This window comes from Homo sapiens, chromosome 4, assembly GCF_000001405.40.
Source record: "Homo sapiens chromosome 4, GRCh38.p14 Primary Assembly".
Taxonomy (NCBI): domain Eukaryota; kingdom Metazoa; phylum Chordata; class Mammalia; order Primates; family Hominidae; genus Homo; species Homo sapiens.
In genome coordinates this window covers 163,170,553-163,183,160 of record NC_000004.12, presented here as the reverse complement: position 1 = coordinate 163,183,160, position 12,608 = coordinate 163,170,553, and the positions used below count along the sequence as shown (strand labels likewise).

General features: G+C 42.3%; 1 long non-coding RNA gene across 2 annotated transcripts; it reads right to left on the bottom strand.

Annotated features, from left to right (window-relative positions):
* Positions 1-4,005: 4,005 nt before the first annotated feature.
* Positions 4,006-10,885, bottom strand: LOC105377517 (uncharacterized). 2 transcript variants are annotated; one of them, XR_939413.2, is made up of 3 exons: positions 10,803-10,885; positions 5,132-5,284; positions 4,006-4,616 (listed from the first exon to the last, which is right to left on the bottom strand). It is a non-coding gene; the product is annotated as an uncharacterized LOC105377517 (long non-coding RNA). The 2 variants fall into 2 exon arrangements; XR_939414.2 differs by having other exon boundaries at positions 5,140-5,284.
* Between the last annotated feature and the right edge of the window lie 1,723 nt (positions 10,886-12,608).

Sequence of the window (12,608 nt, the reverse complement as noted above, 5' to 3'; positions counted from 1 at the left end):
GTTTGGATGAAACCCAGCTTTCATGACACCATCTGTCTGGTTACTCTTCTATAAGAAAAAAGTCCTCAGATCTTTTATCTTATTTTATTTTTAAGTTTTAGCACTTTAATTTTCTTTTCTTTTTTTCTATTTAAAAATATGTTTTTCTTTTATAGAGATGGGGTCTCCCTATGTTGACCAGGCTGGCCTCAAACTCCTGAGCTCAAATGATCCTCCCATCTCGGCCTCTCAAAGTGCTAAGATTATAGGCATGAGCCACTGCGCCTGGGCAGTTCTCTGACTTTTTAAAGTGGCAAAGTCGTAAGCCAGAAATGTAATATGCCCTAGATAATAATCTCAGCTCTAAATTTGACTTCAACATAGAATCATCTCACCTATGTCAGTGGAAGCCCTCATCTAGCTGGCTACTGACGGAGGGAAAGGGAATGTGGTCTTCCTTTTCTTTTGCCCTGTTGTTTCCTTCTTTTCCATCTTGTTATCATTCTGGGGTTTTCAGTCCTTCCTGTGTGCAGGGGAGATGGCAGAGAAAGAGGTAAGGGGGATTGAGGGTAGATGTGCAGGTCACCACAATCCACCAAATTGTCTCCCAAGATCTTCTTCACAAAATCCTCTGACTCTCCACTCTTCTACTTGTTCATAACCCGGATGTGAGTGTGGGAGTTTGAGGTTTTTATAAATGAGTTTTGGCTGTTTTCTATGAAATTCTGCATATGGTCTAGAACTTCCTTCACTGTAGCACCTCATGTATTCTGTTGCTTCATTCAAAAGTTTCCATTTAATATCCTGTTACAACCATGTTCATGGGGTGTTGGTTATATATAAATTCTGGCCCCAGAGAAAGAAGTAACTCTGTAATCCTCCCTGGAGGATTTGTTTTCGTGGACACATTCTTCAAGGATCTGGTTCATATGATCTATCTGGTTTTTGCTGTAGTAACTGTGGGCAGTGGAAAAACATATCTGCCCTAAAAGAGCATTGAAGACTCCCTGAAAGACTGACACCAACTGGCTGGCAGTTTAATTCAGATTTGATGTGGCTAGAGGTTCCTTAAAATACCTGCCATAAAAACAGGGTTATACCGGTGGGAACAGAGGATGATGTAAAACAATGGGTAGATCATAATGTTTAAGGGTCAGCAATAATGTACATGGAGTCTTCGGGGCATTTTAAGATAAAGTCTATGACTCTACCTCTCAAGAGCCCACAGTATTAGATAACATCCCACATATTTGTTTTTTAACAAAAGCCCACAGTATTAGATAACATCCCACATATATGTATTTTAACATATCTGAGAACAGTATGTTGAACGTAGAAATCACAAAATTTCCAGCCCCAAAGAAGACAAATTAGCCCAACATTTTCCTGTCTCTATCCTTTGCTTAAAATCAGCTCTAACACAGAGATGAGAGAGAGGAAAAAATATAAAGAAGGTCTCTGAGAAGGCACAAAAATGAAATCCATAGCACAGCCAAAGAATTAGATTTAGACTAGAAAAGACCCCTCGGTTTTTGAGATCAAAGTGATGGTAGTAAAAATGGGTATGAATGAGGTTTATCAATCTCTAGGCAAAAAGATGAGGGAATTCATAATCTAACGTGTATTTGATGAGAGTAAAAGGATTATCAAAAGCAGTTTGAGAAGTATGATGAAGGTATGAAATGGCGCTGTTCAATATAGTAGCACTACAGCAAAATGAACTTTTGGGTCTAGACAGATTTGTTCATCCAGTCACTGTATTAGCAGTTATCTTCAGGCCCCTTCAGGAGGAACATTCAAATTTAAATTAATTAACATTGAAGTAAAAATTAGTTTCTTAATTGCCTTAACAACATTTTATGTGCTCAATAGCTAAACGTGGCTAGTGGCTGCTGCATTAGACAGCGCAGATGTAGAACGTGTCTATCACTGCAGATATTTCAAAAGGACATCACTGGTTTAAAATGTCCTTTTCAGAAAGTGCAACATTTGTGTAGGTCTTTTGTTTCTGGAGGGGTGAGGTGTTGCTACTCAGCATTGAAAACTCATTTTCTATGTGTGTTGCTCTTCCGGAGCTCTGGCCTCTAAATGTTAGACTTGGGTGGTCAATAAGCCTGGCTTATTGTGGCTCTGTACTTCTGAGTATAGAGCAATTTAGAAATAAGACTCAAGAGACAATTATTTGGAAAATAACAATATTGCTTTAATTAGTGATAAAACCAATTAGACAACATATTAATAGTTTTAGATCTACAGCAAAATGGACTTCTAAAATGAGACAGACTTGACTACCCAGTCACTGTGTTAGCTAGAATCTTCAGCCCTCCCCGAAGGAGCATTCAGAAACATTTATCAACTGTTGGACCTCAGGGAATTCACTAAATCTCTTTGAGCCTCAGTTTCCTTATCTGTAAAATGGGAATAATTATATCTCAAGGTTTTGGGGAAAGAAGTAAATTTATTTATATAGTGCTTAGAACAGTCCCTGGGACTGTTTATTTATATGTTTGGATTTATCATTATTTACAATTCTATTTATATGTTTGGATTTATCATTATTATTGCATAATGGAAAATAGCTCAAAATGCATCCTCTCTGCCGATAGGTAGAGCTTAAGGAGAACCAAAATAAAATGGCTTTGTTGTCTGGGATAAATACCAAAGTTCTTGGTCTCACAGCTGAAGAAATCAAGGAAGTGGATGCACACACATGTTGAGACTGGAGCAGGAGTTTAATAGGCAAAAGGAAAGAACAGCTATCTGTCACAGAAAAGGGTGCTGAATGAGTTGCCAAGTTGCAGTAAACGAAAGTGCTTATTAAGGCCCACTCTTTTTATCAGGGCCCATTGTATGTATGTGAATTTTGGTGATTACCCAGAAAACCCTGCTCTGTGCCCGAATTGCTTATCTGTGTTTTACAGCCTGACCTTCTAGGCTGCTCTTTGTTAGAAGAGAAGTGATTTCTTTGAACTGCTTGAGGTTAGAAAGGGAACTATTTCTGACCTGCTTTTTGTTAGAAGGAAAGTTTTTCGCTGGAAACTCTCTCTACCCTAATCTATCTACCTAAATAATTTCTTTCTATCTCCTATAACATATTTCCCCCCATCAGGAATGAAATCCCTAACTGCTGTTAGGGGGAATTGGGCAACGACTTCTTCTGGCTACTTCCTGCTGGAGAGGGGCATTGTATGGGAACAGCAGCCAGGGTTCCTTCTGGGTGGATCTAAGGGTTCCTAGTAGAAGGGTGGTTTCATTTCGGCTCCATTTGCAGCACCATCTGAAACTTGATGATTTCTAGGTGAGAAGAGATAAACTTTACAAGGAAGTTTAGAAGATAGGGTCCGAATATGAGTATTAAGACTACCATTATCAGTGGAGTCACTATAAGCCATAACCATGACAGCAGAGTTTGTTTGATACCTGTGAGCCATTTAGATGGGTTGTACTGCTGCAAGTGGGTGATAATATTGGTTGCCTCAACTAGATGTTGCTGTACTTTACCAGAAGCATTAATATAGAAGCAACACTCTTTCTTAAGAAAAACACATATTCCTCCCTGACTTGCCATTAGGAGGTCCAGTCCTCTTCAATTTTGCAAGGTGACACCTGTGAGTGAGTCTATTTGCCATTGTTGTTTCTGAGTGGCAGCTATAATTTCAGCTAGGGCCTGGGTTTGCTGAGAAGATAAATGTAGAGAGATGGACCCAAGGGTTGTTCCCAGAAGTCCAGTTACAACAGGTGCTAAAGGGAGTAGAATTACATGAGCTGCCCTTTTTGCTACAGCGTGGGTATGTTTTATAAGGAATGGGAATTGTGTAGAGCATTGGCATAGGATACTTTTGGAAGTATTGCTGCAACACCACAGGCTCCCTCCATTGACTTGGCAGGCTCACATATCCCGTGTTTCTTCATATGAAGAACAGTTCCTGTTTGGGATCTAAAGATACTTGATATCCCCAGAAGGCCAGCTCTAATTTCAGGAGGGGGGGGTTAGGGGGTGTCCCATGCACTTAGGTAGTTTCCAGTGAGGTCCTCCCATATTGAGGCAAATTCTGCCCGAATGTTGGAAAGGAATACGTGATTGGGGTGGAATTTTAAGAACATTCTTTGTATTCCCCAGGCTAACATTCGGGCTAGGGGTAAAGGTGAGTTATCTTTCAACACTGAGTACCAACCCGTAGAAATGCAGGAAGTGTTGGTGTTACTAGTAAACTGAGGTCACCTTGAATTTGGGTATTTAAAGAGAAGGAACTGGTGTTGCTTTCTTACTTTAAGATACCATTTGTCTCTCTTTTCTGAAGAGTTGTATTACCTTTCCTGAGTTGTCCAACTAAGAAATACTTCATATGAGCAGCTGGACAAGGTTCCCAGGTAAGTTCCCTTTGTTCTCAAAGATGTGAAACAAATGGATAATGTGCACCTTGGAAGTACAGTGCAAAAGACTCTTACAAGAGGTGAAGATTCTGTAAAATTCAGGTCTGGGCCATCCTCTATAACTTGTGATATGATTGGGAGAAATACATTTTTTACTTGCTCATCAGGATAAGTTGCATTGGACTGAGTGACTAGGGTAACTTTAGTGTTAACGTTAGCTAAATCTTCTAATGATCGTGGTAATACTTCAGCTGACGGCGAATCTGAAATACAGATATAACATGAAGTTAGATTGACTGCCCAGGCTAGGCACTGGATCTGTTCGGCTATTGGGTTCAGGAGATTAACCTGCACTATTAAGAGGAGGAAGAGAAGTTTTAGCAACAAGGCCCTCATATTTGTCTTTTTCCTGTAATTATTAGGCCTGCTATAAAGGTGATAATCAGGCACAATATTAGAGCAACTAGAATTGTTTGTCCAGAATTCCACTGTGCAGCTGCCACAGTATATAGTCCAACTGCAAACAGTGGAGTGAGCATAGCAGTTCCTCCAACTGTAATGCAGTAAATTATTTAAAATTTTATTCACCAGGATATAGAATTTCCCCCTGTGAGTCTATGAAGCTACAAATGTAACCCCACAGATAGTCAGTCTCCCTGCAAGTATGCGTCAAAGAGGAGTTCTAATATCTGGTGGCAAATCTCAAAGGGAAAGGTGGAAATAACTGAGAGTATCTGGTAGGACGAAGGTGGGACTAAGTAGAATGAATAGTCCTCACTCATTTACTTATCTTTGGTGATTCTCAGCTTGAGATCCCCCATTTCTTCACAGTGATATTGAGGGTGTTCCGAGCTGTCAGGGACTTCTCCTTCAGTTCTTCAAGGCTTAACTTGATTGTGATGTATCCAGGAGTTGATTCCTGTAACTTTTACTGCCGAGGGGGTAGAAACAAGAACAGTGTAAGGTCCCTCCCAACTTGGGCTTAAAGATGGAGAGAGAGAGGAATGAGCCTTCACCAGTACTAAATATCCTGGGTTAAATAAAGGTGGTCCTGTTTCCTAGTGTTGGGCCACCTCCACTAGTTGGTTAATTCCTGTTGGAAGTGAGCTAGGGAGGTTACATGCTTAACCAATTCAAGGTTTCTTGGTCTAATAGGAAGTCATTTGTAAGGAAAGGCTGTCCATACAGCATATCGAAAAGGCTCAAGTCTGACTTTGAAGGGATACTTCCTACCTGTAGTAAAGCTATGGGAAGAAGAGTGACTCAAGGAAGGTGAGTTTCCCTGGACAGTTTTATGAGGTGTCTTTTGATAATGTTGTTTTTTTCTCTACCTTCCCTGAGGACTGGGGCATCCAAGCACAATGGAGATGATACTGTATGCCTCGAGCCTTTGGCCCTCTGGGTGACAGCTGTTTTAAATGAGGGGCTGTTGTCAGTTTTGAGATGCTTAGGTAGGCCAAAGCAGGGAGTTATTTCATTAACTAGAACTTTTATTACCTCAGAGGCTTTTTCTGTACAGCATGGAAATGCTTCTACCCATTAGTGAAAGAAGTCCCACCTTTGCCTTTGGCATGTGGGTGAAGTCTATTTACCAGTCCTGCCCTGGATAGCTCTCTATTCTTTGGGTTTGAGGAGGAAGGAGACGTTTCTTGAGGGAATTATTTTTAAGCCACACTATTTGACTGTTTTTAGTAAGTTATCTCCTGAAAACAATCTCTGGGCACACTGATAAGTTTTATCCTTTCCCAAGTGAAAAGTTTGGTGAAGAATTTTAAGGACTTTCCATTGTCTAGGAGGTGACAAGTGGAGTTTGCCATTCTCTGGCTATAGCCATCCTAAAGGCTGGAAAATGTACCTCCAAGTGGCCCACTCTATCTCTTCAGAGGAGTACTGAGGCTTCATTGCTGTTACGGAGCCTTCCCAGACTAGAGGGGCTTTAAGTGTGTTGATGCCCTGAGGCTTTCTTGCTGCTGACTTGGCTGCCTGATCAGCTAACTTGTTTCCTTCCGCTGTTTCATCTATTTCCTTCTAATGGCCTTTACAATGCATCACTGCTACCTCTCAAGAAAGGAAAACCGAGGATAATAACCTGTTAACTTCCTGATGGTATTTTATAGGGTACCTATTAGCAGTTAGAAAGTGCCTCTCCTTCCAGATGGCAGCATCAGCATGGAGAACTAAGAAAGGATACTTAGAATCAGTGTAAATGTTAGTTACGTTTCCCTTGCTTAATTCAAGTGCTCTTGTAAGAGCTGTCAGCTCAGCTAGTTGAGCGCTTGTGCCTGGAGAGAGGTGCACTTTCCATAACATTATTCAGAGTGACTACTGTGTATCCTGCCTACTCACTCCTTGTTCTACAAAGAAACTCTCATCCATGAAGAGGGTCCAGTCCGGATTTTCTGGGGCAGTCTCCTTGAGATCCTCCCTGGCTGCATAGGTCTGTACCACAATGTGTTCACCGTCATGTTCAGATTCCCCAGTTTCCTTGGGGAGGAAAATGGCTGGATTTGGGTGAGAGCAAGTTCTTAGCTGAACTGCTGACCCTGCTAACAGCAGAGCCTGATATTTAAGGAGCCGGCTGTCTGTTAGCCAAAGGCTTCCCCTAGGGGACAGCAATCCTTCTACATTGTGTGGAGTGTAAACAGTTAAGCCATTTCCCAGGGTTAATTTGGTGGCTTCTGCTACCAGATACATAAAGATTGAGGGCCCTCGTCGGGGAAGGCTGAGGGCTGGTGCCTTAAGTAGGGCTTGCTTTAACTGGTTAAAGCCCTTTGGGGCTTCAGTTTCCCAGGTCAGGAAGTGAGTTTTAGCTGCCTGAGTTTCTTCATGAGCTGACATAGAGGTCGGGCTATCTCACCATACCCAGGTATCCAGTCTGCAATATCATGTAATGCCTAAAAATCCTCTTAGTTGCCTGAGGGTCTTGGGGAGGGGGAAGGAAGAAATGGGCTTAACCCTTTCTTTCTCTAATGCTCTGGTTTCCTCAGACAGCAGTAAACTCAGTTACTTTACTAAAGTCTGGCAAAGCTGGGTCTTAGATTTTGAAACCTTGTATCCTCTGTCAGCTAAGAAATTATGAAGAGCTTCAGTGCCTTCCTGGGAATCTTCCTCACTTGGGGCACAGAACAGAAGATCATCTACATATTGCAAGACCTGGTCTGAGGATGAGACAGTGCCTGTCCAAACAAGTGAGGACTGTCTCGAAATCCCTGAGGCAGCACCATCCAGGTTCACTGGGAAGTTTGGCCAGAGGGATCCTCAAAGGCAAATAGGTATTGAGAGTCAAGATGTAACAGTGTGCAGAAAAAGGCATCCTTTAAATCTAGGACTATAAACCATTCTGTTCCCTCAGGTATTTGGATTACCAAGGTGCAGGGATTAGGAATTATCAGATGAATTGGGACTATGGCTTCATTAATGAGGCAGAGGTCCTGAACTAGTCTCCATTCCCCATTGGATTTTTGCACTCTTAGTATCGGGGTATTTCAAGGACTGTTACAGGGTTTGAGGAGGCTTTGCGTTTTCAGGTTATTATTATGGTTTCTAGCCCTTTCCTAGCCTCTGGCTTTAGGGGATATAGTCTCTGGTTAGGAAAAGAAGTGGGATTTTTAAGGTGGATCTAAACTGGCCTATCAGTTTTAGCTCGACCTATTCTTTCTTGAGCCGCCTACACTTCTGGATTAATATTGGCTTCCATTAGGGGAATACAAAAAGTCTGTCCCAGGGCCATGAGGATGCTAGTCCCTATGCAGGCTAAAATGTCTCTACCTAATAAAGGAATGTGACTTTCAGGCATGATCAAGAAGGCATGTGTAAATAACAAGTCCCCCTGACTACAAGTAAGGGGTTGAGAGAAAAACCGTGTTAGTCTTTCCTATAACACCCACCATGATTGTGCTATGGGAAGAGGGGAGGCCTGGATTGGAGAGGAGAACAGAAAGACTGGCTCCAGTGTCCAGGAGGAGGTCCGCCCTCCTCCCTTCAATTTCCAGAATCACCCAGGGCTTCTGAGCAGTAATGGCAGTTTCTGTAGTTTCCTTCTAATATCAGGAGCTGCCTGGATAATAAACTTGTCCTTTAGAATGAGCTATCCCTCAATTGAATCAGGGGACAAAGAGGTGTGTTTTACTAGTGCCTCTCTCACCCTTTCCATGAGGGCTGAGGGATTCTCATCTGGCTTGTGGTCTATTGTGGACAACTTAGAGTAATTAAGTGGTTTGCCCCTAGTTCTTCTAAGGCCCTCTAACACACACATTAAAAGGCGTTTCCTTTTCCATTAGTCTATGGGGTCACAGGGAGTCCAATCAGGATCGTCAAGAGGTATAGCCTCTCTTCATATTGGGAATGGTTGTTCTGTTATTTCCTCACCTTCTATATCTCCCCTTTTCCTTTTTGGCCTACTATAAGAGATATGTTTTTCATCTCCGAACTTCTCTGCTGCCTGCAGAGTGCCACTTTTTCAGCTGCAGTGAGGGTTTGGCTTAGAAACAGCATAACATCCCTCCACGTGAGGTCAAACACTTGAGTTAAATTTTAGAAGGCCTCTATATTCCTATCAGGGTCATCAGAAAATTGGCCCAAGTCTCCCTTTATTTGCCTAAGGTCCTGTAATGAGAAGGGAACTTGCACCCTAGTGGTGCCCATTCCATCTGGCATTTTTTGTAGGGGTCAGAGTGAAGATGGGGCAGTGGAGAGCTTTGGAGATGGGGGAGCTGGAGGAGCCAGAGGAGCCAATGGCACAGTCACAGGGCATCCTGGATAAGGGGGACAGGAAGAACTGGTGGGGCACTTAGAAGTTGCCTCCAATGGCTCCTTAAAAACTTGCTTTTCTGACTTAGTCTACTCTCTACAGACTTGCCCAATATGGCCATCAAGAGGGCTTAGTCGATTGTGCAATGCTTGCAAAGGTCTGAGTTGTCTCTCAAGGCAAAGAAAGCCTGTACATAGAGGAGCTTGGGCCACTTGCCCTCCCATCTACAAACAAGGTCTAATTGTTGGATAAGATTAAAACCAAGGCTCCTTCAGCTGGCCAGGTCTGTTCATTTCCAAGATAGTAAGAAGGCCACGCCCTTGTGCAAAGGAAAATGAGCCACTTTTTCTTCAAAGTCTCAAGGTCAAAGGAGTTCCAGTGCTTCAGAATGTACTCCAGAGGAGTGCAGGCCAAAGATGGCTTGTTATCCATTTAGAAAAGAGACAAGAGGCATCCCTCAGTCTCCTTGTTCTTTTCAGTGTGACCCAGGGTGGAGGGGAAAGACAGTGGGAGCATCACCCCAACTGTTCTCCCTCCTTGGTTCCTGGGTCCTGGCACTGTAGTGCCACCCATAGTTGCAGGTATGACCCTCAAACCATGGTACCACAGAACTAAGCAATGGGGCTAGTCACACTACTAGCCCATGTGACCTTAGTCCTCTGCTTGGTGATTACCCTTTGACCTCCTAGACTTGTGTGGTCTGCATGACTCCTTGATGGATGGGTCTCGAGAGAGACTATGTAACAATTGCATTTGGGCAAGACCCCTTAATGGAGGGAGTATACTGGATTGAGCTTTATAATCTGCTCTTATGGACCAGATTAGAGAATTTATTCTTAGGTAGTGGTTCCAGTTAACTTCGAGACACAAAATCCCCTTTCTATTTAGATGCCATTCTAGTTGTAGGCAGAATAGGTGTCTTAAGAGAACATAAAGGTCAAATGGTAGCCTTTCTGCTAATGGAGAGAGTATTGAGATTAAAATGTGGTTTTGGAGGACATTTTTCTCCTCACTGCTGAAAGCAGAGTTCTCCCGCTTGCAGAGGGGGCAAAAAGTTTGGTCTCTAGCAGAGGGAAGCAAAACAGAAAAGAACTGGAAAATCTCCCTGTCTGTAGAAAATCACAAAAAGAGCAATCCTTTGATCTGCATTCCTGGTTTCTAAGGTGGTTGCTAAGCCTGCCTAATTGAATTTTTTCCAGGGCTGTAAAAACTCCTGCTGCATTGCATACAGAGAGGAAATGGGAGACATGGTGACAGTGGAAAGGAAAGGAGGAAAGTATAATGTGCAGTAGGAAAGCTTGGAGATCCTGTAGCTGACACCTGATTGGGCAGTTGGGGGCTGGGGACAGTCCAGAAGCCTTTAGATAGCACCAGGGTATAGCCCTGACCAGACAGAAATTTTCAGTTGCTCCAGGACCTCTCCCAGCCCCACAGGATGGCCAGGTTCTCCATGAAAGGAAACTGGTTTGGAACAGGGCCAACATTCCCAGCACCCCGAAGACACTGGGAGATTGACTAAGTCCTCCCCAGCAAGCCTCTCCTTTGAGTCTTCAAGAGCAGCAACTTGCCCTGGTGGCTCCTTAATCAGCTGTCAAATGCCTGGGTTTTTGATAGTTGAGAGAATAAAAACTGAGGATGAGAAGCCTCGGAAATTAAAGTATAGAGTCCGCTCCTATACTCATCCTGCCGATAAATTTACCTTCAAATCCCGGATGGGTCCCCAAGTATAAAATGGCCTCATCGTCTGGGGTAAATACCAAGGTTCTTGGTCTCACAGCTGAGGAAATCAAGAACATGAACACATAACCACAGAGAGTGAGACTGGAGCAGGAGTTTATTCGGCAAAAGAAAAGAACAGCTCTCGGTCACGGAGAGGGGTCCCAAACAGGTTGCCAAGTTGTAGTAAAAAATGTCAGTTTTTTATAAATGGGCTAGTAAGGAGGGTGTGACTTATCTTCCTAGGGCCCGAACAAATGGTTAGGACCAGGTGTGCTATCTGCATAGAGCAGGGTCTCTATCAGCCCCCACCCCATTCTTTGATCATGTGGGTACACTCTTAGTTTATGCTGCTCTGTGCTGTTTGTGTGTGCTAAAAGGGAGGGAAGAGTGTCTGTGCCTATTCCCAGGCACCTTCTTGCAGCTGCAGGTATCTCACCTGTGCCTACTTCCAGCTTCCCTGTCTTAGTATGCCTAAAGAAAGAGAAAGAGATATGCTTATGAAGGCCCACTGTTTTTACTGGGACCCATTGTATGTATGTGAAGTTTGGTGATTACCCAGGAAACTCCCCACTCTGTGCCTTAGTTGCTTATATGTGTTTTACAGCCTGAGCGTCCAGGCTGCTCTTTGTTAGAAAGGAAGTGATTTCTTTGAACTGATTGAGGTTAAAAAGGGAGCTATTTCTGAGCTGCTTTTTGTTAGAAGGAAAGTTTTCTGCCTGGGACTCACCCTAACTCTCTACCTAAATAATTTCTATCTCCTATAACACAAAGATACTGGACCAAGTATGCTCAGTTCCTTTTCCCAAGATCACCAGTCAGATGTCACTCTCTTATCTGATAAGTCACTCTCTTACAAGCTGAGTGTGAGAGGAGACTAGGTGGCAAGAGATGCCTAGTCTCTAATCTATAATTTCTGTCCATACTCTCAAATGAGTCCAGTAGAGTTTCAGTCCATTTTGAGTTAAAATAGCACTTATACCTCTCTTTTCCCTACTACACTAGTTGGCAATGCAAACATATGACCTTGACTTAAATTAGTGCTACAATATATAAATAGGAATAGCAACTCACCCAAACAGTCACATAACCTGCTTTTAATCATTTTGTGATATATATTAGAAAATCTCATCATTTTTATCTAGCAAGTGCATTGTAGGTTTCTGGAAATGTAAATGTGTCTATTCATGTATTTTTAAACATTGAAATAGACTAAGATCAATCAGTGACATTTATAGAAATAATTTAAGTTTTACGTGCTCCCTTTGAAATGTAATATGCCATTTAAATTGTAATTTAATTCAAGGTAAATTCTCTCATAACGTTAATAGTGACCCTGTAAGCTACACAGTCTTCCAAGGTGTTTTTTTGGATTTAGTCTTAGGTTAAAGACTTCAGGCTAAGTTTAGCAACTGTTAGAAATAATGCGGTTGAGAGGAAGGCTGTGGAAGTAGGTAAATTCAGGACATTCTGAAACAAGCACTTAGAAAAATTACCATTTGTGAAACACTGACCTACTTCAAAGCTAGGCATAGGTACCACTATCATTATGTTGAAACACAGAAACATTTCCACCACACAAACAAAAGACTTTTATTTAAAAACAGTAGCCTTTCTTAGATATCATCAGATTAATTTAAATTGAAAGAATAACAGATATTATCTGTTAAGTCATATTCCTTACTCTGATTGTCCCATTGAGCTTTATTCTTTCTTTCTTTCATTCATCCATTCAAAAATCCTTATAGGATTTATTCTGTTTCCAGGCACTTAGAGAAACAGCTGTGAA